The 26,833-nt window shown below is 49.3% G+C and overlaps 1 protein-coding gene and 1 non-coding gene across 52 annotated transcripts in view, besides 3 other annotated features; both read left to right on the top strand.

The window, feature by feature from the left end:
- The window catches only part of KDM2B (lysine demethylase 2B), a 173,819-nt gene that overhangs the window by 131,058 nt on the left and 15,928 nt on the right, over positions 1 to 26,833 (top strand). For 17 of the 51 annotated variants that reach the window (NM_001439022.1, XM_047429691.1, NM_001439017.1 and 14 more), the window contains 10 exons: positions 5,804 to 5,947; positions 6,686 to 6,772; positions 6,950 to 7,210; positions 7,429 to 7,542; positions 8,192 to 8,230; positions 8,386 to 9,065; positions 9,989 to 10,152; positions 10,245 to 10,406; positions 11,147 to 11,365; positions 20,753 to 22,126. In NM_001439022.1, the coding sequence (NP_001425951.1) occupies positions 5,804 to 5,947; positions 6,686 to 6,772; positions 6,950 to 7,210; positions 7,429 to 7,542; positions 8,192 to 8,230; positions 8,386 to 9,065; positions 9,989 to 10,152; positions 10,245 to 10,406; positions 11,147 to 11,365; positions 20,753 to 20,934 (2,052 nt within the window). In that variant the 3' untranslated portion in view covers positions 20,935 to 22,126. Of the gene's footprint in view, positions 1 to 5,803; positions 5,948 to 6,685; positions 6,773 to 6,940; positions 7,211 to 7,428; positions 7,945 to 8,191; positions 8,231 to 8,385; positions 9,066 to 9,988; positions 10,153 to 10,244; positions 10,407 to 11,146; positions 11,366 to 20,752; positions 22,127 to 26,833 lie in introns of those variants that run through there. The other 34 variants (NM_001439023.1, NM_001439018.1, XM_047429689.1 and 31 more) reach the window with 9 other exon arrangements.
- Positions 1,644 to 2,144: an enhancer, noted in NCBI's record as "H3K4me1 hESC enhancer chr12:121886881-121887381 (GRCh37/hg19 assembly coordinates)". NCBI's record gives its function as "activates a minimal SCP1, AML or CMV promoter by ChIP-STARR-seq in primed H9 embryonic stem cells {active_cell/tissue: H9 hESC(primed)}" and the evidence as "EXISTENCE:reporter gene assay evidence [ECO:0000049][PMID:30033119]".
- Positions 2,145 to 2,645: an enhancer, noted in NCBI's record as "H3K4me1 hESC enhancer chr12:121886380-121886880 (GRCh37/hg19 assembly coordinates)". NCBI's record gives its function as "activates a minimal SCP1, AML or CMV promoter by ChIP-STARR-seq in naive and primed H9 embryonic stem cells {active_cell/tissue: H9 hESC(naive and primed)}" and the evidence as "EXISTENCE:reporter gene assay evidence [ECO:0000049][PMID:30033119]".
- On the top strand, positions 6,870 to 6,949 carry MIR7107 (microRNA 7107). The gene has a single exon (NR_106957.1). It is a non-coding gene; the product is annotated as a microRNA 7107 (primary transcript).
- Positions 25,633 to 25,712: an enhancer, noted in NCBI's record as "active region_7165". NCBI's record gives its function as "activates an Ori minimal core promoter by ATAC-STARR-seq in GM12878 lymphoblastoid cells {active_cell/tissue: GM12878}" and the evidence as "EXISTENCE:reporter gene assay evidence [ECO:0000049][PMID:35858748]".

Raw genomic sequence — 26,833 nt, 5'->3', positions numbered from 1 at the left:
ATAAAGGTCTTCATGCTCATCATCTTCACATTGTGTAGGCAGAGGAGGAGGGGTTGGTCTTGCTGTCTCAGAGGTGGCAGAGGCAGAAGAGATGGAGGAGGTAGAAGGGGGGGGCAGGAGACGCAGGCACACTCAGTATAACTTTTGTTGAAAAAAAATCGGCATATAAGCGGACCCACACAGTTCAATCCTGTGCTGTGTAAGGGTCAACTCCATGCCCAGAAGTGGGCTTGCTGGGTCATATGACGATTCTATTTTTAACTTTTTGAGGAACCTCTGTACTGTTGGCCACCGCGGCCATCCCGTTTTACATTCCCACCACGGGTGCATGAAAGTTCCTGTTTCTTCCTCTTTTTTTTTTTTGATGGAGTCTTGCTCTGTCACCCAGGCTGGAGTGCAGTGGCACGATCTCGGCTCACTGCAAGCTCCACCTCCTGGGTTCATGCCATTTTTCCTGCCTCAGCCTCCAGAGTAGCTGGGACTACCAGTGCCCGCCACCACGCCTGGCTAATTTTTTTGCATTTTTAGTAGAGACGGGGTTTCACCATGTTGGCTAGGATGGTCTGGATCTCCTGACCTCGTGATCCACCCGCCTCGGCCTCCCAAAGTGCTGGGATTACAGGCGTGAGCCACCGCACCCGATGAAGGTTCCTGTTTCTCTGTGTCCCCACCAACATCTGTTATGTTATGGGCTTTCAGTTTGTTTTTAGTGGCCATCCTAATTTGTATGAGGTGACGTCTCACTGTAGTTTTGATTTACTTTTCCCTAATTCTTAGTGATGTTGAGCATCTTCTCAAGTGCTTATTGGCTGTTTGTCTGTCTTCTTTGGAGAAATGTCTGAGTCCTTAGCCCGTTTTTAAACTGATTTACTTTTTTCTTTTCTTTTTTTTCTTTCTTTTTTTTTTTTGAGACAGAGTCTCATTCTTTTGCCCAGGCTGGAGTGCAGTGGCGCAGTCTCGGCTCACTGCAACTTCTGCCTCCTGGGTTCAAGAAATTATCCTACCTCAGCCTCCCAAGTAGCTGGAGTTACAGGCACATACCTCCACACCCAGCTAATTTTTGTATTTTTGGTAGAGGCAGGGTTTCACTCTATTGTCTAGGCTGGTCTCAAACCCCTGACCTCAGGTGATCACCCTCCCGCCTTGGCCTCCCAAAGTGCTGGGATTACAGTGCATCTGGCCTAGATCGGCTTTCTTTTGGGGGTTTTTGTTGCTGAGTTAGAGGAGTTCTAGATATGTTTTGGATATTAACCCTTATCAGGTCTCTGGTTAGCAAGGATTTTCTTCCATCCTGTAGATTGCCTTTTCACTCTGTCAGTTCTTTCTTTTGCTGCAGAAGTTCAGTTCCACTGCTTGTGCTTTTAATTGGTACCCGAACCCCAGGACATTTCCATGGATTTCGGGGAATTTGTGAGCCATCCTGAAATTAAATGCATTTTTGTCTATGTGCATGCATGGATGTGCATTTTTTGGAGACTGGGTCCATGTGACCCATTGGATCCTATAGAATTTAAAAGAGCTTGTCTATAGCAACTGTTGGTTTTTAGAACGGTGTCACCTAAAACCCAATGTGTGCCAGTAATGAACCCGCGACTGTCTTTTTCTCTTTGGCATTATTATCTCCCAGCCCCCGTGTGCTGGGCCCAGTTATAGGAAACCTGTCTCGGGTGCCATCTTATCTTTGCAGCTCTGGTGCCTGGCACAGCGCATGCTGGTTGAAGGAAACCCCATTTTTCTACGTCTCCTACTCTCTTCAGCTTGACGTGGCTTCTGGAACTGATGGCAGATGCAGGCTTGGCCTGACCCTTGGGGTCCTTCTTACTCTTCTCCTAGCCCTTCTGCTCTGCCAGGGCACTTCTCACGTGTTACCCACCTGTGACATACGCAGCCCCACCTATCTTCCTTTTCTGGACCCTCCCTTTGCTCCGTCGCTGGGGCTGCCTCCGTAGCCTCCCCTCTCCACCATGTCCCTGCCAGTGTCATGCCGATGTCATGCTGGTGTCCTGCAGTCTGCCCCCCCACATGCGCCCCAAGCCCCCTGCCAGCCCCTGCAGGAGATTTGCCTCTGGCACCGCCTCCCATCCTGCCACCTGGCTCAGAGCCCGTTCTGCCATCTGCCCCACCCCACCACAGACCCTCTTCTTGCCGTGTGGGCCGTGCTTCACCCTGTGCCCCCCGCTGCAGTCTGGTCCCCAGACGTCCCCTTTGGCCTGGCCTGCTCTGTCCTCATTCACCTTGAGGCCCCGCGGCCTTGCCCACTTGGCTTCTCTCCACCCTGTCCTCCAAGTCCTCCAGAAATCAGCCTCTGCTGCTTCTGAGAACTCTTGAACATGATTTTTCCATGTTTTCTTTGGATTTCAGCGACTTAATGTCTTTGTCTTCCCAAATAGCTCATGGGGAGCAGCCATCTCCCTCGCTCCTGTGGCCCCAGGACCTTGTTTCAGGCCGTGGCAGATGTGTGTTTGGTATTTGTGGAAGGAACGATGACTGCCTTGCCTTCTGTGTCCTGTTTATTAGAATTCAAACATTTGCGCCATTTAATCAAGTCTTTTTCACTTACCAATGGCGTGTATATCCCAGCCTGCTTGAAGCTCCTCTGAGCAGCATAATAAAGGTTGGCTGCGTGCTTCCTCTGTCTGCAGGTGCACTGGGCGGGATGAGGCTGACCTGCCCTGGCCTCAGGGGGCTCACAGCCGGGTGCATCAAGTTCTCACACTTCGTGGTCTCAGGGACCCCTTCATGCTCTTCAAAATTATGAGGACCCTAAAGAGCTTTTCTTTTATGTAGGCTATATATTTATTAATATTGACCGTATTAGAAATTTAAACTGAGTTTGATGTGAGAGGACTTTAGCTAAAAAAAAAAATTAAAACTGATTTTTTTTTTTTTTTTTTTTTTTTTTGAGACAGAGTCTTGCTGTGTCGCTCAGGCTGGAGTGCAGTGGTGTGCTCGTGGCTCACTGCAGCCTCTACCTCCTGGGCTCAAGCAGTCCTCCCACCTCAGTCTCCCGAGCAGCTGGGACTACAGGCATTCACCACTACACTCAACTAATTTTTGTATTTTTTTGTAAAGACAGGGTTTTGCCACGTTGCCCAGGCTAGTCTCAAACTCCTGGGCTCAGGCAATCCGCCTGCCTTGGCCTCCCAAAGTGCTGGGATTGCAGGCATGTGCTATCACTCCTGGCCAAGAAATTTTTTTTTAGATTTTAAATTTATCTTAAAATAACAAGAAAACCCATGACGTGTTAATAGAAATAACATATTTTGGCCGGGCGCGGTGGCTAATGCCTGCAATCACAACACTTTGGGAGGCTAAGGTGGGAGGATCACTCGAGGTCAGGAGTTTGAGACAAGCCTGGCCAACATGGTGAAACCCCATCTCTACTAAAAATACAAAAATTACCCAGCACGCCTGTAGTCCCAGCTACTCGGGAGGCTGAGGTGGGAGAATCGCTTGAACCCAGGAGGCAGACAGAGGTTGCAGTGAGCCGAGATCATGTCACTGCACTCCAGACTGGGCAACAGAGCAAGACACCGTCTCAACAATAAATAAGAAAAAAGAAATAACATATTTTTATGAGAAATAATTACATTTTCCAAAAGAAAAATAAGAAGAATGGCGTTGTTTTATATTTTTGTAAATCTCTGTTATGTCTGATTCATTAGAAAGGACTTGGAATTGCCGGGTGCGGTGGTTTACGCCTGTAATCCTGGCACTTTGGGAGGCCGATGTGGGTGGATCATGAGGTCAGGAGTCCGAGACCAGCCTGACCAACATGGTGAAACCCCGCATCTCTACTACAAATATAAAAAATTAGCTGGGCGTGGTGGCGGGCACCTGTGCTACTCGGGAGGCTGAGGCAGGAGAATCGCTTGAACCCAGGAGGCAGAGGTTGCAGTGAGTCGAGACCGTGCCACTGCACTCCAGCCTGGGTGACAGAGCAAGACTCCATCTCAAAAAATAAAAAAAAAAAAGAGAAGACCTGGAATTTTCATATCTGCTTCTGTGTTTTGTCTATTGTGATATGTTGTTTTGGAGGGAGTATGAGGAAAATTTTGCCTCACACAGATATATACTACTTGGAAAAGGGAGGAGTATTTTAATAGCCTTTTTGATAACTGTGGATACTCTGATACTCAACTAGAACTCAACAGTTTTTTTTAAAGTTTAGTTGCAATGTGGAGTCTGAAACTGTATCAATGAGCTGTTCACACTGTTACATTGAAAATCATTAGCCTGTCTTGACCTTTGAGTAGCTCATTTGCTCAGGCATGATGTTGTAACACCATGTATTGGTCATCTGGAAAATATTGGCTCCCTGAGTTAGGCGGATTTTCCAAATATTGGCACATAATATTATTTTAGAAATCACGTTTGTTAATATGATTACTGATCTCATTGGAAAAGTCTCTCAGTATTGGGAAGCTGTGCGGGTTATGGTGGTTCATAAAAGTTTTCCAAAAGTCTAATTTTCATTCAGAAACTTGAATTTTGTCATTTGCAACAAATGCTGTCAGTTATTTTTCTGGAAATGACAAGCTCACTTCTTTGATCTTCACAAAAATACACCAGTGTCCAGGGGGTTTCTATCAGTCATTCCTTCAAGTAAAAATAATCTGTGGAGAAAGTGGCCATTTCACCTCCCAGCTCAGTCACGAGTGCTTTTCCTTTGGTACGCGTCACCTGTGTGCCGAGGCACTTTACGCATACTTCTTATTGTCACAAAGCACATGAAAAGGATGTGTACTCTAGGGTAAGGTTTTCATAAAGTAATTTTTACTGTTTCATCAGAGATATTCTTAGATGAAACTGGTGATCTTTTTTTTGACGGAGTCTCGCTCTGTCGCCCAGGCTGGAGTGCAGTGGCATGGTCTCGGCTCACTGCAACCTCTGTCTTCCGGGTTCACGCCATTCTCCTGCCTCAGTCTCCCGAGTAGCTGGGACTACAGGCGCCCGCCACCACGCCCGGCTAATTTCTTTTTGTATTTTTAGTAGAGACGGGGTTTCACCGTGGTAGCCGGGATGGTCTCGATCTCCTGACCTTGTGATCCGCCCGCCTTGGCCTCCCAAAGTGCTGGGATTACAGGCGTGAGCCACCGCGCCCGGCCTGGTGATCTTTTTAATAAGCGTATGGCATGAGTCACCCCATGGCTGCTGGTGAGCTGGGGGCCTTGCCTTGCCTGGTGCTGAGGGGCCAGGAGTTTCACCCGCCAGTACAAATATCAATACTGTGCAAAAGGCAAATAACGTCTGTTATTCTGAAGACAGTTCTGACCTCCTAACCTTTCTGTAAAGGTCTTGGGAGCCCGCAGTCCATGGTCTGTGCCTTGAATACCCACTGGTGAGATGCAGCTTCATCTCATCCGCATGGATCTGGGCTGCGCTCACGCCCCTGCTCCTTTGGGGCTTTTCTGAATGTGAGGCCTTCCCTGACCTCCATATTTAAAATCAGCCCCCCTTCTGCCCCTCACTCCAGCCCTCTAATTTTTCCCCATGTCTCTGTCTCTAACATGCTCTGTCCATTTTGTCTGCCTCCCTCCACTAAAATGTAAGCTCTGGATGGCAGAGATTTTGAGCTGTCTTGTTCCTTGCTGTATCCCCAGCAATTAAGAGTAGTATCTGGCATGTGGAGGTAGTAGCCTGATACGTATTTCAATGAATGAGTGAGCGAATGTGCCTGGGCCACTTTCCGGGGGTCTCCTGGCAGGCCCAAGGGGAGCAGCTCATTGCCCTTGAACTGGCCCCCCTGGGGGTCCGTGCTCCCCACCCCTGATGACTTGTCTTGTTCTCCCTGGCTCCTCAGCCAGTGCTGCCCCACACCGCCGTGTGCCTTGTGTGTGGCGAGGCGGGGAAGGAAGACACGGTGGAAGAGGAGGAAGGCAAGTTTAACCTCATGCTCATGGAGTGCTCCATCTGCAATGAAATCATCCACCCTGGATGCCTTAAGGTGAGTGGCCCAGTGGGGACAGGTGGTGCTGACGCTCTGGGGCAGGTAGGGTTGCTGGAGATGCTGGTGAGATGGTGGGATGCAGGTCGTGCAGTGAATTCCTGGAGGACCCCTGAGTCTGGGTGATCCTGTGTGTCAAGGGATAAGCCCGGGGCAAGGAGGGCCTGGAGTACCTCAGAGACCCAGTGTCATCAAAGGAATAAACACACCCCCACCTCCCAGGATGTCAGAACCAGAGAGGGTTTCCAGAGCCTCAGCAGATGGCAAACACAGGCTGCTTGTTTGTAGCTGGGCCAGAGGAAGCGCCTCCAGGTGGCTCCAGGCTTCTGGGAGAACAAGGCCCCACACCACACTCCTTCCCCCAGCACCCAGTAGAGTCCTCTGCAGAGTCCTTTCTGCATGCCAGGCGCTGAGCTCATGGCTTTACCTGGGTCATACCCCCCCAGTGAGATGGGCACACTAACTTTTATGGCCGAGGGCACCAGCCCACAGAGACGGAGTGTCTTGCCCAGGGTCCCAGAGAAGCAAAGGGGCTCAGCCTCTGAACCCTGGCCTGGATCCACAGCTGCCCGTCTCTGCCAGCCTCTGCAGCTGTGTTTTCTTTTGCCTGGAAACGGGATAGATGTGACGTTGGGGAGGGGGTGCTGCTGCTTCTGGAAGACGTGGCGTCACAGAGCCTTGTGCCCGTGGGCCATCTTCTCCGCCCGTCCCTCTTCTGAGTCCTGGTGTTCCCCGCAGATTAAGGAGTCAGAGGGTGTGGTCAACGACGAGCTTCCAAACTGCTGGGAGTGTCCGAAGTGTAACCACGCCGGCAAGACCGGGAAAGTGAGTGCCGGGCTCCAAGTCCCAGGGTCAGTCGGGAGAGGGGCGGGCCTGGGCCTGGCCGGGACCAGCCTGTCCCAGGAGTTTCAGGCAGGTGGGTTGCCGTCGGCCTGGGGAGGAGGAAGGGCAAGTCCAAAGGTATACAGTTGGTCTGTTCATTCTCTCTTTTTGGCCTACAAGCAAAAGCGTGGCCCTGGCTTTAAGTACGCCTCCAACCTGCCCGGCTCCCTGCTCAAGGAGCAGAAGATGAACCGGGACAACAAGGAAGGGCAGGAACCTGCCAAGCGGAGGAGTGAGTGTGAGGAGGCGCCCCGGCGCAGGTCGGATGAGCACTCGAAGAAGGTGCCGCCGGACGGCCTTCTGCGCAGAAAGTCTGACGACGTGCACCTGAGGAAGAAGCGGAAATACGAGAAGCCCCAGGAGCTGAGTGGACGCAAGCGGGTACGGACCAGGAGGGGCTGGGAGGCAAAGGGGTTGGTCTGGCTGGTCCCGGGTGCTGGGTTGGAGGGATGGGGCAGGGGGTGGGCAGCAGGTAGAGCTTGGGATAATCCCGGCCTCTTGCTGCCCTGAGCAGGTCACCTAAGTCCTGAGAGCCCTGCCCCAAAGAAAGGAGGGGAAAACCAGCGAGTCACTCCTCTTCCCACTCCACCCCCCTTTAGGCCTCATCGCTTCAAACGTCCCCCGGTTCCTCCTCTCACCTCTCGCCGAGGCCCCCTCTAGGCAGCAGCCTCAGCCCCTGGTGGAGATCCAGTCTCACTTACTTCCAGCAGCAGGTGCTCCCACGACGCACGCCCTCCTGAGGCCCCGGGGACTGGCGAGTCCTGGGCTGTCCCCCACCCCACCCCGCTGGTCCTCCACCCCACTGCTGCCTCTCCTGAGGCTTCCCAGGTCTCGGCCCCAGATCTCTGGCTCGTGGTTCTGGCTTGGGGCCTGGGAAGCTGTCTGTGCCTAGAGCCTCTGTTGGTTGGGATGGAAGCTGTGAGTCCAGGGAACCTCTGAGGAGCCTGGTGGCCCTGCTCCACCCACGGGCCGTGCTGTCACCAGCCACAAGGTGGCGCCAGGAGTCTCTCCCAGCTCTAGCCATTCCTGCTGGGCCGGGGATTCCCACAGGGCTGTGCTCCAGAACTGGCTCCCAGAGCCGAGGATGATTTGAATGGGCGGCTGCACATCTCCAGGTCTGTGGGGTGGGAGGTCAGTTGGGTGGGAACAGTTCAACTGTACTCCTACTTCCAGCTTCTTCCTTGAAAGCTGCAGGCAGGGCTCGCCCGTCTGTCGGTCAGACGTGGAGATGGCATTTGTGGGGAAGGCCTCCCTCCAGCCCCTCCTCTGGAGACTGTGGACTCGTGGTGGGGTGGGGTGTCGAGGAGACCAAATCCCACGAGCCCGGGGAGCAAGCTCTGCGTCCTTTCTTTTTCGTGACAGCTCAAACCTGGCAAAGAAGATAAGCTTTTCAGGAAAAAGGTACCATCTTCCCCTCCCTCCTGTGCCCCAGGCCTGAGCGGTTAGAGCTGCACCGCAGCTCCCTGGGCCACAGTCCCGTGGCAGGGGGGCGGGAGGCCTTGGGCGGGCGCAGCCCTGAGCCCCAGAGGCTGACGCGTCTCCGCTCTCGCCCTCAGCGGCGGTCCTGGAAGAACGCCGAGGACCGCATGGCGCTGGCCAACAAGCCCCTCCGGCGCTTCAAGCAGGAACCCGAGGACGAACTGCCCGAGGCGCCCCCCAAGACCAGGGAGAGCGACCACTCCCGCTCCAGCTCCCCCACCGCGGGACCCAGCACCGAAGGGGCCGAGGGCCCGGAGGAGAAGAAGAAGGTGAAGATGCGCCGGAAGCGGCGGCTTCCCAACAAGGAGCTGAGCAGGGAGCTGAGCAAGGAGCTCAACCACGAGATCCAGAGGACGGAGAACAGCCTGGCCAACGAGAACCAGCAGCCCATCAAGTCGGAGCCTGAGAGCGAGGGCGAGGAGCCCAAGCGGCCCCCGGGCATCTGCGAGCGTCCCCACCGCTTCAGCAAGGGGCTCAACGGCACCCCCCGGGAGCTGCGGCACCAGCTGGGGCCCAGCCTGCGCAGCCCGCCCCGTGTCATCTCCCGGCCCCCACCCTCCGTGTCCCCGCCCAAGTGTATCCAGATGGAGCGCCATGTGATCCGGCCACCCCCCATCAGCCCCCCGCCTGACTCGCTACCCCTGGACGATGGGGCAGCCCACGTCATGCACAGGGAGGTGTGGATGGCCGTCTTCAGCTACCTCAGCCACCAAGACCTGTGTGTGTGCATGCGGGTCTGCAGGACCTGGAACCGCTGGTGAGCGGCGGCCTGTGTAGGGCTCTAGGTTAAGGCTCAGGCGGCACCAGGGATGGCCCGTGGTGTGTGGAGTCGCTGGCGATGCTCTTTCCTTCCAAACCCCAGTATGGCTTCATTGTGCTCCGCAAAGCGTTCCAGCTGGCTACAGCGGCCCCTCTGGTCTTGTCAGAGGAGGTGACCCCGTTTATTCCGATTTAGCTTCCTGGAGGGTGAAGTGAGGACCACGTGGAGTCCTTGGCTTCGGAGAGTTAGTCCAGGTTTCCAGCAAGGCTGCGAGTTGCAACTTCAGTCCAGCCGATATTTACCAGCTTTCTGGCCTTAGCTCTGCCTTACCCTCTTGGATGAACGGGCATGACGCCAGCTTCATGGGGGTTGTTTGGAGGAACGGCCGGTAGAGGGCGTTGTAAAGCCCATGGTAAATACTTGATGGAGGCCGGGCGCAGTGGCTCATGCCTGTAATCCTAGCGCTTTGCGGGCGGATCACTTGAAGTCAGGAGTTCAAGACCAGCCTGGCCAACAAGGTGAAACCTCATTTCTACTAAAAATAAAAAAATTAGCCGGGTGTGGTGGCGCACACCTGTAATCCCAGCTACTCGGGAGGCTGAGGCAGGAGAATAGCTTGAACCTGGGAGACGGAGGTTGTGGTGAGCAGAGATTGCACCACTACACACCAGCCTGGGAACAGAGCGAGACTCCGTCTTAATACATACATACATACTTGATGGAGAGTGGAGGCCATGGCTGTTAGAGCAGGTGGGAGGTGCCCGCGTGGGGGCAGGATAGGTGCTACATAGAGAAGGGTCCAGAGCGCTGAGTTAAGGAGCCTCCCAGAGGTTGTTAGGTGGGGACAGTTAAGAGCTGTGTGTGGGCTCCCTAGAGGAGCCCCACCTCTGACGATGTGTCCCCACGGGGCCGGTCCCCAGGTGCTGCGATAAGCGGTTGTGGACCCGCATTGACCTGAACCACTGCAAGTCTATCACACCCCTGATGCTGAGTGGCATCATCCGGCGACAGCCCGTCTCCCTCGACCTCAGCTGGACCAATATCTCCAAGAAGCAGCTGAGCTGGCTCATCAACCGGCTGCCTGGTGAGCCCTGGGCCAGTGGCCCCGAGTGTGTCTGCTGCAGTGAGGGCTGGGGACACATCCCCTGACCTTCACCCTTTTCTATGTCCCCCCAGGGCTCCGGGACTTGGTGCTGTCAGGCTGCTCATGGATCGCGGTCTCGGCCCTTTGCAGCTCCAGTTGTCCGCTGCTCCGGACCCTGGATGTCCAGTGGGTGGAGGGACTAAAGGATGCCCAGATGCGGGATCTCCTGTCCCCGCCCACAGACAACAGGCCAGGTGAGTTGCCAGGCTGGGGGTTTCTGTGGGGGTGGGGTGAGCGAGCTAGACTGTTGGATCTGCTTTTACCCTCAGACCCCAGCTGTTCCCCAAAGGACATAGGGATGAGTCTCTGCTGCCATGTTCTCAGTTTGCTTCAGGCACAGAGGGGATCTGGGAGGAGGCAGGGGCTCCTGTGCACACGTGAGACTCGCTCCTGGGGCTCCGCGTGCGTCTCTCTGCTTTCCTGTTGACTCGCTCATGGGGCTCTGCGTGTGTCTCACTGCTTTCTTATTGACTCGCTCATGGGGCTCTGCGTGCATCTCACTTCTTTTCTGTTGACTTGCCCCTCGTTGGTTTCAAGCCTCCACTGCCATCGGGATCAGTGTGGTTGTGCAAAGGCTTCCAGGATGGCACCTCCCCCTGGACTGGGCTGGACTGCCTAGGTCCGTGCTTCTCGCCAAGCCATGGGGATCGGAGATGCTGCGCAGCCTCTGCACTGGTTGGCTGATGACTACTGGGTGGAATGTGGGCATAGTGTTTCTAGGTCTTTTAGTTTTTCAAGAGAATCTGAAAATCTAAGTTTTGATGTGGAGTCTGATTTTTCACTGTTGGAATTATGATTTTGGGAGGAAGCAGTTTATAACTAAATGAAATCTGAGTGTTCTGTCTGGCTGGTGGGCCTTTTAGAGTGTCATGTCAGCATGACCAGGCCTCCTCGGTCAGATTGACGGGTTGCCCCCTCCTTCCTGCCCCACCAGGTCAGATGGACAATCGGAGCAAGCTCCGGAACATCGTGGAGCTGCGCCTGGCAGGCCTGGACATCACAGATGCCTCCCTGCGGCTCATCATCCGCCACATGCCCCTGCTCTCCAAGCTCCACCTCAGTTACTGTAACCACGTCACCGACCAGTCTATCAACCTGCTCACTGCTGTTGGCACCACCACCCGAGACTCCTTAACCGAGATCAACCTGTCTGGTGAGTCAGGGGCCCCCATCGGGTCTGCCTAACACTCCGTGGGAGAACCAGGAGGTTCACATTTGTGGAAAACGATTCGTGTGTCTACAGCTATGTGGTCACAGTGCTAGGTGTCTCGTTTACTGAGACAGACAGCCCAGTCCAGGGGGGAAACACAGTAAACAAAGAGTTACTGTTGGCCGGGTGCGGTAGCTCACGCCCGTAATCCCAGCACGTTGGGAGGCCGAGGCAGGTGGATCATAAGGACAGGAGTTCGAGACTAGCCTGGCCAACATGGTGAAACCCCGTCTCTACAAAAAAATACAAAAATTAGCCGGGGGTTGGTGGCCGGCGCCTGTAATCCCAGCTACTCGGGAGGCTGAGGCAGGAGAATCGCTTGAAACTGGCAGTGGAGGTCGCCGTGAGCCAAGATGGCGCCACTGCACTCCAGCCTATGTGACAAGACCAAAACTGTCTCAAAAAAAAAAAAAAAAAAAGTTACCATTGGAGTTGTAGTAATTGCTACCCCAAAATAGTGCCAGTTAGCAGCAGCCACAAGCACATAGCAGTGGTTCCTGACCCAAAATACGGACAAGGGACAGCTTCCCGAGGGGGTGCAGAAGAGCCGGTGCCTGACAACCAGGGTGTTGAGACAGTGGGGGCCGGGAGGCAAGGGCCCTGGTGGGCAGGAGGGAGCTTGGTTTCTGCCTTTGCTGTCGTTGCTTACATGCACCCCTTGTGACCCTGCTATCAAGGGGCCTGTTGTTGGAGAGAAAAAAACCCACAGTGAGTTCCATTATTGTTCTCTGTCTGTCGCTGTGGTGCAGGATCTTCGCTCGCTGCACTTGCCGTTGGGGCGGCAGTTGGTTCTGAAGGACTTGGGGCTCCAGTATGCAGCGAGGTACACAGAGCAATGCTGCCTGCTCTTCGCCCAACTAACCCAATTTTGGTCTGGTAGCTTAGGATGGTCTGGATTGGGGGGTGTTGGGTTTGCGTGAGAGCAAAAAAAGAAAGAGAAAAAGAAACTACAGGTTTTTTTTTTTTTTTACCCTTAGAAATTACCAAGTACTAAGGACATCCCCATCTCATCAAATTACATTTTTCACACAGCGCAGTGGTGACATACACGTTGTTTTCTCCTCTGCATCCCACATTTATGCCTGATAAACTGTCTGGCAACCATGCCTCATAGCAGGGGCATGGGAGCTTTGGATGGGATGAGATCATTCGGGACCTAGGAAGCCATTCCTTCTCCTCATGAAGTTTTGGTGGCAGGGATTGTTCCACCTCGTGGACGCAAAGAACCAGAGTGAATTGAGGCTTCTCCAGCTCAAGGGCCAGGTCATGGCCTTGAATGGGTGATGGAGCTGCCCTTTGGAGAGGGCCTGGGAGTCGTCTTACTCTAAGTGCTGGCATTTTATTACATCTCTTCATTATATCCTGGTTTAGTTATTATGGATGCGTAGCAGAGATCTCAGTATAAATTCCCTCCCCTGCGGTGTGGGCCATGCTGTGTGTGTGCATGCAAATCATCTTTTGCATTTTGTTTTTCCAGCATGATAAATTGAGGTCATCTTTTTATCTCAGTGCATACAGCTCTCTGCATTCTTTTTTTTTTTTTTTTGAGATGGAGCCTTGCTCTGTCACCCAGGCTGGAGTGCAGTGGTGCGATCTCGGCTCACTCCAGCCTCTGCCTCCCAGGTTCAAGTGATTCTTCTGCCTCAGTCTCCCGAGTAGCTGTGATTACAGGCGCCTGCCACCATGCCTGGCTAAGTTTTGTATTTTTAGTAGAGATGAGGTTTCACCATGTTGGCCAGGCTGGCCTCAAATTCCTCACCTCAGGTGATCCACCCACCTCTGCCTCCCAAAGTGCTGGGATTACAGGCGTGTGCCACCACGCCTGGCCTGCATTCTTGTTAAGAGCTGTGAAGTATACTAAGGCATATCTCTATACCTAAACTCTTCTAGATTTTCTTAAAAAAAAAAAAAATTCCCCTCTCATCGGTGTAACCAGTTGAGTTACTGGAAAAATAAGCTTGTCCTGATGCAAGCACCAGAGATGGGAAATAAGTCTGTGCCACAAAATAGATGACAGTTGACATGCCTCAAGATCCTTAAACTTGGTTGGAGGATCTGGTCTCGTGACAAGGGAAGTTGCAATTCTAGCTATTGTTCTGGCCGAATTCCATCGTGGAAAATTTACTGGGTGCTCAAGGCAGTCCCCTGCCTTTCCCTTTACCCCATCCTCACTACCTGAGACAATGCCTTAAACTCTTGAATTCTTTCTTCCAGTGTTTACCTCTGCTATTTCAAAATAGCAAGCCTAGTGCTTGCTTTGGCAGCCCATATACTGCAATTTCTTTTTTTTTCCCATGTGGACATTATATATTTATTAGCTTGCTATTATATAACATGAGGATTTATTACTGTTGTATCCTTCCCTCCCACTCCCCACCCGTTTTTCTCCCTCCATCTTTTCCAATTTTTGGTTGTCACTATTCTTTCACTTATTATGACCATGTTAAGTGTTGGTCACTGTTGAGCCAAATAGTGTATTATGAGTACATTTTCTTTCTTGCTCAATGTTTTTATTAATTGCCTCATTTTGCTTAGTTTCTATGCAAATGGTACAACAGAATTGAATGCTCTCCCCCTCCCCACCCCCAACTCATCAGTTTCTTGACCAGTTTTTGTACGAGAGCTGCCTCCTGACTTCTTTTCCTCCCCTTCCGTTTTCTCCTCTGGGACTGCCCGCCCCACTGCTGCCATCCTGGACTCCTTTGGTCTCTGTCTTGGCCTAGGTACCCTCCTTCCTTGATCTCATATCTTCTTTCTTGGTTTACTCTCACATTTGGTGAGAGACATTTTCTAGACCCTGTGTGTCTGAATTTGTTTTTATTATATACCTTCCCATTTAGTTGCTAGTTCTGCTGGGTATAGAACCCTAGTCTGGGAGCCTGTTGCTACAGTAAGTGGGAGGTTTTGCTCCACCATCTTCTGCCTTCCAGAGGCAAGGTCTAAAACCATTTGATTCTTCATCTGTCAGTGAATCTATTTTCTCTCCTTGTAAGTTAATAGAAAGTCGTCTGTAATTGTCTGCAATTTTTGATGACAAACAGGTTTGAGTCCATTTCACCTACCATGCTGAACACTCACAGAAGCCGTTCAGTCTGGACGTCTGTGTTCTTCACTTGTAGAAAAACTTCTTCTTTCTTAACTTCCTCCCCTTCTGTTTTCCTCTTTCTGGACTAGTCCTCTGATTCCTGTCTTCCCTCCTCATTTCCATGTCAATGTCTTTTTGCTGTATTTTCTGGGAGTTTTCCCTTACTTTATCATACAACTTTTTTTTTTTTTTTTGAGATGGAGTCTCACTCTGTCGCCCAGGCTGGAGTGCAATTGCGCGATCTCGGCTCACTACAAGCTCCGCCTCCCAGGTTCACGCCATTCTCCCGCCTCAGCCTCCCGAGTAGCTGGGACTACAGGTGCCCGCCACCACGCCCAGCTAATTTTTTGTATTTTTAGTAGAGACGGGGTTTCACCGTGTTAGCCAGGATGGTTTCGATCTCCTGACCTCGTGATCCGCCCGCCTCGGCCTCCCAAAGTGCTGGGATTACAGGCGTGAGCCACCGCGTCCGGCCACAACTTATACACTGAGTTTTTAGTTTCTGCTGTTGTGCAGTTGAACCATATGAAACTGCTGTTTTTATAAGTCAAAAGTAGTCAAATGTTGGCATTTTCATATGGTTCAACCTATATGTTTAATTTTCAAGCTGTATTCTCTGAACTTTTTGTGGAATGGCCAGTTGTTTCTTGGAGCCAGATAACTTTCCTACCTGAGGATATGAATGATTGTTTTATTTTCTTCTCTCTGCATTGACTGTTCCCTTCAAATGCTGTCAGTGGCCTTCAGCAGAGGCCCTCCTCAGCTTGAATGCTGATGCTTGCTTGTCCCTCCACTCAAGGGTGATCAGAAGCTCTGGGCACGCGGTTGGAGCTTGTCTGCTATGGACGACACTTACAGGGTGGTCTCTGTGTGTCGTTTCTTTGGTGAAACCTGGACATCACATCTTTCCATCTTTCTCTTAAGCTGGTCAGGATTGCCAGAAAGACTCTCCTTGATCTCCTAAGGGTGTAGGGTGGACCGCCATTGGTATGGTCAAGTATGGGGCTTGATGGGGGAAGGAGGTTCTCAACAGTCAGCAGGTAAATTTTCCCTTAGCCCCCACTTTTGAGTGGGCACCCCTAATTTCTGTGCCCACTGGAGCCCAGCCCATCAGAGACTAAAACCCCAGTCTTCTGCTGGGGAAGGAATCTGGACATCTTACTGCTCCTTGAATAGATTTTCAACCAGTGCTTCTGTTACTAACACCATCTTTAGCCCCACTTCCAATGTACATGTCACTTCCAATGCAAGAGGAATTTCTGAGAAATCACAACTAAACACCTTGGAGGTGTTCTATAGAATAATCATTCTTTTCTGCTTTCCCCTCAGCCACTTTAGGGTTAATTAAGCTTTCTCAGGTCTCCTAAATTGTTACCTCTTCTCCAGCTTCCAAAATTAGAAAAATAATTATGTTGTAGTAAAATAATACATAATATAAAATGGACCACCTTAGCCATTTTTGGGCATAGAATTCAGTGGCATTAAGTACATTCACAATGTTGTGCAACTGTCACCAACATCCATCTCCAGACTTTTTTTCTGTTTTAGAGACAGGGTCTCGCTATGTTGCCCAGACTGGTCTCAAACCCCTGGGCTCAAGTAGTCCTCCTGCCCCAGCCTCCCAAAATGTTAGAATTACAGGCATGAGCCACTGCACCTGGCCTTTTTTTTTTTTTTCCCTTTGTTGGCTGTGATTTTGGTGTCATATCAATCTTTGCAAAGTCTAATGTCATGAAAAATTTCCCATTTTCTTTTTTCAACACAAAGTCTTGCTCTGTCGCCCAGGTTTGAGTGCAGTGGTGCAATGTCAGCTCACTGCAGCTTCCGCCTCCTGGGTTCATGTGATTCTCATGCCTCAGTCTCCCAAGTAGCTGGGACTACAGGCACGTGCCACCACACCTGGCTAATTTTTGTATTTTTTAGTAGAGATGAGGTTTCACCATATTGGCCAGGCTGGTCTTGAACTCCTGACCTTGTGATCCACCCGCCTTGGCTTCCCAAAGTGCTGGGATTACAGGCATGAGCCATCACGCACGGCCGGGTCCAGCTTATTCTTTTGCATGTCGAAATTCAATTTTTCCAGCAACATTTATTGAAAAGATTATTTATTACTTCATTGAATGCTGTTGGCAGCACCCTTTTCAAAAATCACTTCACCATATATTTGAGGGTTTGTTTCTGGGCTCCTGATTCTTTTTTTTTTTTTTTTTTTTTGATAGAGAGTCTCGCTCTGTTGCCCAGCCTGGAGTGCAGTGCAGTGGCACGATCTTGGCTCACTGCAACCTCCACCTCCCGGGTTCAAGTGATTCTCCTGCCTCAGCCTCCTGTGTAGCTGGGAGTACAGGTGTGTGCCACCATGCCATGTTGGCCAGGCTGGTCTCGAACTCCTGACCTCAGGTGATCCGCCCACCTCGGCCTCCCAAAGTGCTGGGATTATAGGCGTGAGTCACCACGCCTGGCCGAGCTCTTGATTCTATTCCATTGGTCTATATGTCTATCCTTATGCCTGTAACGTGCTTTATTTATGAATGAATGAATGACGGGGCTTACTCTGTCATCCAGGCTGGAGTGCAGTGAGGTAATCATGGCTCACTGCAGGCTCCACCTTCCAGGCAAAAATGATCCTCCCACCTCAGCCTCCTGTGTAGTTGGGACTAGAGGCACCATGTTTGGCTAATTTTGGTGTTTTTTGTTTTTTTATAGAGACAGGCTTTTGCTATGTTGCTCAGGCTGGTCTTGAACTCCTAGGCTCAAGTGATCCACCCACCTCAGCCTCCCAAGTGCTGGTCTTACAGGCATGAGCAGTCGCGCCCGGCCTATGTATTTTATTTTATTTGGAGACAGGATCTCACTGTGTTGCTCAGGCTGGAATCATACTCCTGGGTTCAAGTGGTTTTCCACCTCAGCTTCAGATTAGCTCAAGTTCTTCAACTTTGTTCTTTTTTTGGATTGTTTGGACAACTTGGAGCCCCATGCATTCACATGAATTTTAGGATAGATTTTTCTATTTCTGCAAAAAATACTACTAGGATTTTATAGCAATTTCATTGAATCTGTAGATTGCTGTGGGTAGTGCTGAGCTGACATCTGTATTAAGTCTTGACTTTCCATTTATTTATGTCTAATTTAGTTTTTTTCAGCAATGCTTTATAGTCTTCAAAGTACAAGTTCTTCCTTGGTTAAATTTATTCCTGAAGCTAGGCATGGTGGCACACACCTATAGTCCCAGCTACTCAGGAAGCTGAGGTGGGAGGATCACTTGAGCCCAGGTGTCCTAGACCAGCCTGGGCAAAGTAGTGAGATTCCAGATCTAAAATGTTTAAAGGCGGAGGGAGAACTGATGAGGATGCTAACAAAAGTGATGTTCCTCCACAGGCTGGCGGGCGGGCAGGCGGGCCCCACGCGCCAGCAGGAAACATCTGTCAGCCTGCCTGTGGAAGGTCCGAGAAACCAGGCTGCAGTGAACTCTAACGCACAGAGGGACCAAAGAAAGTCTTTTCCTTCTAGCTTCTTTGTTGGAAGGGTCTTTGGGCTCCAGTTTTGGGGAATATGTGAACCACAAGCCAGGAAGAATGCTGGCTGGGCATGAATGAGCCTCCAAAGAGGGCCCAAATTAGTACCCAAAGACAACTCAGAAAAGGAGCCAGCTGGGCCTCCAGGTCTCACTTCACACCAAGTGCTGCCTTACCACCGACAGGTAACTGCCAGGATGCACTTGAGGCCCCCTCAGCCGTCTGACAGCTACAGGCCACAGCAGTGTGCCAGCCAGATGGCAGAGTTCTCTGGCATGGGAGCTGCCTGCTCTGGTGCTTGAAGGTGTCAAGGGAGAGGCAGGACTTGGGTCAGTCCCTTCTAGCCAGGAACTAGGCAAACATTACAGGGGAAAAATATCCCTGAGCTGGTGATGGAGTGGGGACAGCATAGCTGCATCTGAGTAAGGAATGAGACGCATTCTGGGGATGAGCTAGACAGTGCTCTGGAAGGCAGATAGGGAGCTGGGAACAGGGTCAAGATGGAAGATTCTGAGGGTGATTTCTTGCTGAAAATGTCTAGCCTGAATCTAAGCAAGCCTCTGGGATATCTGCAGTTTATAGGAAAAACAGGAGAGATGGAACAAGCTAAATGACACCTTTAAGATGACAAGTGTGAATGTGGGACATCCTCTAAGAAAACCATCCTGGTCAGACAGGCTCAACACCTATATCCCAGTGGTCTGGGAGGCTGGGTGGGGAGGATCACTTGAGACCAGGAGTTCAAATCTAACTGGTCAACATGTCATAGTAAATAATGAAAAATGAAAAGTATATGAAAATAAACATATTAGTAAAATCCCTATTCTTTATACTTAAAATGAATCAAGTATTGAGTTTTGGGGATCATGAGTTTCCCGAAGGAATTGTATGATAACATTCTACAACTTCCTTCATCATTGGATTTTGCAGTAAGATTATGAAGAGGGTCAGCCATTTGAGGGGGAACTACTTGAGGGATTAATTAGAAGATTAAGGGATACCCTTTGAAAAACTGAGTTATTGCCGGGCACGGTGGCTCACACCTATAATCCCAGCACTTTGGGAGGCTGAGCTGGATGGATCACTTGAGTTCAGGAGTTCAAGACCAGCCTGGCTAACATGGTGAAACCCCATCTCTACTAAAAATTAAAAAAATTAGCCAGGCGTGGTGGCCGGCACCTGTAATCCCAGCTACTTGGGAGGCTGAGGCAGAATCGCTTGAACCTGGGAAGGGGAGGTTGCAGTAAGCCGAGGTCGTGCCACTGCATTCCAGCCTGGGCAACAAGAGCAAAACTCCATCATCTCCAAAAAAAAAAAAAAAAAGAAAAAAGAAAAAAACCCATGAAAACCTGAGTTATCTGTTGAAGCATCTCTCGTTTTCCCATCTTCAGTCCAAAAGCAGGGCCTTCACTTGTGAATGCCTATGTGTATGTAGACAGCTTTCCAGCACCACTGCTCCAGGTTCACGAATTGGTGAGCATCTGTTTGAAGATTCTGTGCTGATGTGGAGGCCACTGTCTGAAAGGACTAGCTGTATAAAGGAAGTCAGTTTGGTGGCGTATGTGGTGCTCTGACTTTACTACTTTACACCACCTCCTGGCTTGCAGGGATTTTGATAACATGTAGATAGCACAGATGTTGTATGCATGATTGCGGTTTGCCCTTCGTATTTTTATTCCCACTCAATTTAATAAAGAAATGAAAGTGTTGATACTAAGGATGATTAGCAAAGGTCACAAATGTAATACCATTGAGGCCAGGCACAGTAGCGCAAGCCTGTAATCCCAGCACTTTGGGAGGCTGAGGTGGGCGGATCACATGAGGTCAGGAGTTTGAGGCCAGCCTGGACAACATGGTGGAACCCAGTTTCTACTTACTACAAAAAAAAAAAAAAAAAAAAAAAAAAAGTTGCACATGGTGGCACACGCCTATAATTCCAGCTACTCAGGAGGCTGAGGCAGGAGAATCACTTAAACCTGGGAGGCGGAGGTTGCAGTGAGCCAAGAGTGCACCATTGCACTCCAGCCTGGGTGACAAAAGCGAGACTCTGTCTCAAAAAAAAAAAGCACAAAGGGTGTGTCTGCAGATGAGGGTGTGATGAAGTCTGAATTCTGCTTTTGCTAGAAGGGCATGTTGGTCTGGTGTCTAGGCTGCTGGCACACGGTCAGTCCTGGAGTTAGGGCCAAACAGCTGTCCCTCATGCTGTGAATTGCTCCAAAGCACTGCGGCCTGCAAAAGCAAAAATGATCCCAAGATGCCCTTAGGGATGTTCTTTCTGTGACCCAGCAATGCCCCTCTGGGAATTTATCTGAAGGGAGGAGGCAAATAAATGCACAGTAATAGACATAGAGCAGTACTCATCAACAACATATTAGATGAGAAAAGCAAGCTACTTGACATGGTGTGTGAACCTATCATTGTAAAAGCACATAGAACTACTTACATGAGCATACGCACGTATAGAGGCAGCTGTGTGGTAAATCAGAAGTGATTTTCACGTGGTTATCTGAATGCTTTTGAGGCATATATTAACCTTTATACCTGGCGGGTGAGACCCTTCCCCGTTTGAAGAAGAGAGATTTTAAGCAAATAACATTTTATTTAGTGCAGCACAGCAGGGACTGGAATATGTAGAGCTCTGACCTGTCCCCACTGCTGAGTGCCTGGGTCTGGCGGCGGGGGGGCTTCTGGCTCCTGGCCTTCACACCTCACATTACTATTTCTTCTCTGCAGACTGCAATAAGGTCACTGATCAGTGCCTGTCCTTCTTCAAACGCTGTGGAAACATCTGTCATATTGACCTGAGGTACTGCAAGCAAGTCACCAAGGAAGGCTGTGAGCAGTTCATAGCCGAGATGTCTGTGAGTGTCCAGTTTGGGCAAGTAGAAGAAAAACTCCTGCAAAAACTGAGTTAGTCCAAGGATAAGTATGTAAATACGGGGCGGGCTCTGGGAGGGGAGAGACTTTACAAAAATGAGGGCTTTTATTTTCCATTTGGAACGTGGGACAACAGACCACAACGCAATTCCATTTTGCAAGTCTTTCCAAGGGAGAAGCTGTTCAACCACCCGTTTGGGGGATGAGTGAGCCGACACTTTCCTTTGGTCTTTCTGAATCGTAACTGCACTGCTTTCTGGACCATTTCTAAGGCGGCCTTTACAAGAAGACATTCCTGTCGGAGAGGAGGGTGGACTTCGGAGAAATTCTCATACTGAAGCATGAGCTTAGGAGTTTCTGTTAGTGGTAGTGGTGTTTTGGACACTTCATTCCTTGCAACACCGAGGTTTTGGGTGTTGACATAAAGTGGACCACACACCACATCTGCTGCCGTCTTGACACTTTTTTTTGTTTGGTTGGTTTTGTTACATCTTACATTATGCAGAACTATTTTTGTACAAATTGTTTAAAAGTTATTTATGCAAGGTTTGAATGCATACCAGTGTTTTTATTGTTTTGAGATTGCCAATTTTCCTGATTTCCTTAAGGTAGGAGAGAATTTAACGTGTACTTCATCGACACAACCCATCTACAAATGTGCCCAGATCTAACAAAGTAGGCTAAGACCTTCCACTTAAAAGCATGTTTAACTGGAAGTTGAGAGTCTGCTTTGTACCTCAAGAGTTACATGAGCATGTTGTGGATAAATGTAAATTATAGTCAAAGTAAGATACTCTGCCAAGTTTCCTCTGTAGAGAATTCACTTTTCTCAAATTTTAAAATTTCGACTTCAGCCTTTGCACTCAGGAGGTTCTGCTCCAGCATGAGCTCTTGTACTTACATAGATCTAATTTATACAGTGAGTCAAGACGTAGAATAAATGCTCCCACATAGCCTTTCTTTTGCTTTTGCTTCTCTCCTCTGAAGTGTGAGTTGAGTTCTCATTTAGGTTTGTAACATGGCTATTTCCTAGTTGTAAAGTTCTGCATTTATAAGTGCCATTGTTGTAAGGTGGTGTTTCCTAGACCTTCCCTGATGCGATTTTACCTTTGTTGAATTTGTATAAACAATTGTACAAAAAAAACCACTCTTGAACTTTGAGGGTTTCTGTTCTAGGAGTGGACTAGAAGTTTAAGCCCAGAGTCAGTAAACACTGTTTTGAAGTCCAAACAATGTAATTTCTGATTCATCTGATGTACCCTGTGGTGCGTCATTTCTCTTTCTTCAGAAAGCAAGCAAGCTGTTTCTGGCTAGTAAAGGTAACGGGAAAGAGCTATACTCTGACAACGGCCACGCGTAGGAATTAGACACAGACTTCTTTAAGGAGAAGAGCTGCTCATCATCTGTCTGTGTGCCTCTTACCACACAGAATTAATTCCATGGCTACTTGCCATTACCATTGCCTAAAAGTTCGCCAGATTTGGGAGACAGTGGGAGCAACTGCAGGAGGCTGCATCCTGTACAGGTAGCCTTGGGCCATGGTGGCTGTAGGAAACACTTGGTCATGAGGTGGCTTCCCCAAGTGGCAGATGCAGAAACCAGTGAGAAGTAATTTTAGATTACGGAATTTTTTTTAAAGACAGGACCCTGCTGGCGATGTCATATTCACATACAGAAACAACTGCTCTAGTGAATCTGAAGATGGAGAAAGTAACCAACCTCCTTCCTCAGTGATTGATAAGAGCAATGTACGATGTTGCCCCTGTGGAAGAAGCCTTTTCTTGCTGATGGCTGAGTTTTCTATTTGTCCCTTTTATTTTTACTATGGCAAAACAGTTTTAATTAAAATGAGACAAGGCCACGTGGAGTGGATCCAGCACTTTGGGAGGGATCACCTGAGGTCAGGAGTTCAAGACCAGCCTGACCACAATATGGTGAAACCCCATCTCTACTAAAAATACAAAAATTAGCCAGGAGTGGTGGTGCATGCCTGTAGTCCCAGCTACTCAGGAGGCTGAGACAGGAGAATCGCTTGAACCCAGGACACGGAGGTTGCAGTGAGCTGAGATTGCGCCATTATACTCCAGCCTGGCGACCGCGAGACCGCATTTCAAAAAAAAAAGAGAAAGATCTCATCTAGATACATGTCTCCTGTTAATTTAAATCCACAGACCCTTGTTGACTCAATCTAAAGACACTTGAAGCCACTGTACCCCAGAATTTAACTCAGGAATCCACTTCACTCCATGGTTTATAAAAATGTGACTTTCTTTTGTAAGCCTGATTGATTGTTTAAAATGCAGTGTCCTCATGAATGGTAATATTTGTTTTCTTGACAGCCTGAGTTCTCCAAACCTCCAAACATTAATAATATAGCTACCCTGATATCCAGTAAAGTCATCCTCTTCCTTAAGAATTGCTTTAAGGTTAATCATTGTTCTCTGGTGAACGGATCCCGTAGTCACTCATTAGTAGCCAAGACAGATTTGTGGCTGCAACTGGGACTAGTTAAGGGAAGTAGGGCTCAGGGTTAGAAGGCAGTGTTTCTCCTCTAAGGGTTCCTGGAGCACACAGGTCTGCTAGGGAGGGGCTGCCAGGGCTGGGGATCCAAGCCACCACATGGATGTGCAATACAGCAGAGACACAGCAGATCTGTAGTTTCAGGACAGGCCATTGTATAACACAGTGGCCATAAACTCTCCCAAGAGTACTGAACAATCCAGTAAGATTGTACTTCAGTACAAATCCATGGTCTCTGTACAGACCTATTTTATTTTATTTATTTTGAGACAGAGTCTCGCTCTTGTCCAGGCTGGAGTGCAGTGGTATGATCTCAGCTCACTGCAACCTCTGCCTCCCAGGTTCAAGCAATTCTCCTGCCTCAGCCTCCCCAGTAGTTGGGACTACAGGTGCCTGCCACCATGCCCAGTTAACTTTTGTATTTTTAGTAGAGATAGGGTTTCACCCACCATGTTGGCCAGGCTGGTCTCGAACTCCTGACCTCAGGTGATCTGCTGGTCTCAGCCTCCTAAAGTGCTGGGATTACAGGGATGAGCCACCGTCCCCAGCCTCTTTTATTTTTAAAATGAGCCAAAGATGAGGCCAGCCGAGGCTAAATGCTACAAGCAACTACTCTGAGCCTACACGCCATGTCTGATGAAGTAATGAAAGGACCATAAACCCAAGGGAATGTTTGCTGTGTCAAATCACAGCTTAGTAACCTAGAAAAGAGGCTCTGTCCCTTCCTCTAGGGAATCTGATGTTTACAAAGGAAGACACCATGGCACCTCAAATGACATCCTTTCATATTGTGAAGATGGGATAAAGAGACTTCACTGTATTCCACTGCAGACTTATCCATATGACATGACCTATTTAAAAAATTTACTTAAAGCAGCATGGGGCTGGGTGCAGTGGCTCATACCTGTAACCCCAGCACTTTGAGAGGCCGAGGCGGGCGAATCACCCGAGGTCAGGAGTTTGAGACCAGCCTGGCCAACATGGTAAAACCCTGTCTCTATTAAAAATACAAAATTAGCTGGGAGTGTAGTATGCACCTGTGATCCCAGCTACTCAGGAGGAAAAGGCAGAAGAATCACTTGAACCTGGGAAGCGGAGGTTGCGATAAGCCAAGATTGCACCATTGAACTTCAGCCTGGGCAACAGAGCAAGACTCTGTCTAAAAAAAAAAAAAAAAAAAAAAAATTGTTTAAAATTATCCAGGCATGGTGGTATGCATTATATGCCAGCTCCTGGGGAGGCTGAGGCGGGAGGGCTGCTTGAGCCCAGAAGTTAAGACTGTAGTGAGCTATGATCATGCCACTGTACTCTGCCTGGGTGGGCAACAGCAAGACTCTGTCTTTAAAAAAAAAAGGGGGGGGAGGGGGTAGAAAGGCATGCCAGTTTAAAAATTCAAATTCCAGGGGGAAATGCTTGCCCTCTGCCAAACAAGCCAATTTCCAAGTATCAAGCCTGTTACACTAAACATTTCTGTTGTCTGACATTTCTATTATCTGGCTAATAAACCAGGGTTACTTCAAACTACTATCTAAAAAATCCACCAAGCATTTTGTACTCTTTCTATAAAGAAGCCACTAAAACTTAATACACAAATCTAAGAGTAAACATTAAACTGCTTTAAACTAAGACTGTATAAATCTGAATTTTTGAATTTAAGTTTAGACAAAACCAGCACCTACTGCTTAGCTTCTATGGCCTGGATTTAAAGACTTGCCACCACCAAGTTACCAATTTGGAGGAAATGTTAAGATTTCCAGAGTCTCATCAAAAGATTACTTTGGGAGGAAGAGGCGGGTGGATCATGAGGTCAGGAGATTGAGACTATCCTGGCTAACACAGTGAAACCCCGTCTCTACTAAATATACAGAAAAATTAGCCGGGCGTGGTGGCGGGTGCCTGTAGTCCCAGCTACTTGGGAGGCTGAGGCAGGAGAATGGCATGAACCCAGGAGGTGGAATTTGCAGTGAGCTGAGATCACGCCACTGCACTCCGGCCTGGGCAACAGAGCGAGACTCTGTCTCAAAAAAAAAAAAAAAGTTTAGACAAAAAGCACAAGTGCCCACAAAACTCTGGCAACTTATGCTGCTTCTAAAGGGAAACCATGACCTGCTCAAGCCAGTTACTACCAATTGTGGTTGCAGACAAACAAGTGGGAGGCCTTGATTTACATGCTTTGATCTTCAAAAGCAGAAAATTTTTTTCTTTACTATTAGCCACACAAACTTTCTGCCCAAAGCACAGGGGCATCTGCCTCCTGGTGTTCACAGGTATTTTCAGCTCTGTTGATGGACTAATAAATTCTGAGCACCCAAGGCCATATGTGTTACTCACTGCACAGTCAGGAGATAACAGACTCTGAGAAGTGGCCACTCCCAGCTGCACTGAAATGACAGTTGGTCTCAACTCAACCATCCTGAGTCAAGTCAAGTTGGACCTAAAAGAGATTTCACAACATTTTTGCATAATAGCTCAAGTTCCTCTTTTTTTTTTTTTTTTTTTGAGACGGAGTTTCGCTCGTCGCCCAGCCTGGAGTGCAATGGCACGATCTTGGCTCACTGCAACCTCCGCCTTCCAGTTTCAGGCGATTCTCCTGCCTCAGCCTCCTGAGTAGTTGGGATTACAGGGACCCGCCACCATGCCCAGCTAATTTTCGTATTTTTAGTTGAGACAGTTTCACCATGTTGACCAGGCTGGTCTCGAACTCTTGACCTCATGATCCACCCGCCTCAGCCTCCCAAAGTGCTAGGATTACAGGCATGAGCCACCACACCTGGCCCAAGTTTCTCATTTCTTATGTGGTACTGGAAGGGTTAAGAGCAACTCTGGCATCAGAGCTAGGTTCAAATTCTGCATAGCCACTTTTTAACCATGAGGTTTTAGACAAGTCTAACTTCTCAGAGGTTAGAGAAGCAAAGCAATGTTTATTTCAGAAAGTTGCTTTGAGGACTGCAGAGGCAACTACAGCACCTAGCGCAATACCTGGACACAAGAAACAGCACATCAGCAGTTAACCTTACTGATAAGCAAGCAGGAAATGTAAGCACTGTTGCTCATGTGGCATTGTTTTTTTCTTTTTTTTCTTTTTTTTTTTTTTTGAGACAAGGTCTGGCTCTGTTACCCAAGTTGGATTTCAGTGGTGTGATCTTGGCTCACTGTAACCTCCACACCCAAGGCTCAAGCCATCCTCCTACCTCAGCCTCCTGAGTAGCTGGGACTACCACGCCTGGCTAATTTTTTCCAAAGACAGGGTTTCGCCATGTTGTCCAAGCTAGTCTTGAACTTGTGAGCTCAAGCATTCCTCCAGCCTCAACCTCACAAGGTCCTAGGATTACAGGCGTGAGCCACCGCACCCGGCCCCCATGTGACATCTTTGAAGGTGCTCCCACCATCTCTTCTGAAGAGGGGTGCTAGGCCAGG

This window comes from Homo sapiens, chromosome 12 (genome assembly GCF_000001405.40).
Source record: "Homo sapiens chromosome 12, GRCh38.p14 Primary Assembly".
NCBI classification, from domain to species: Eukaryota; Metazoa; Chordata; class Mammalia; order Primates; family Hominidae; genus Homo; species Homo sapiens.
Note: the sequence above shows the minus strand (reverse complement) of the source record. Positions and strands in the feature narration are given on the sequence as shown.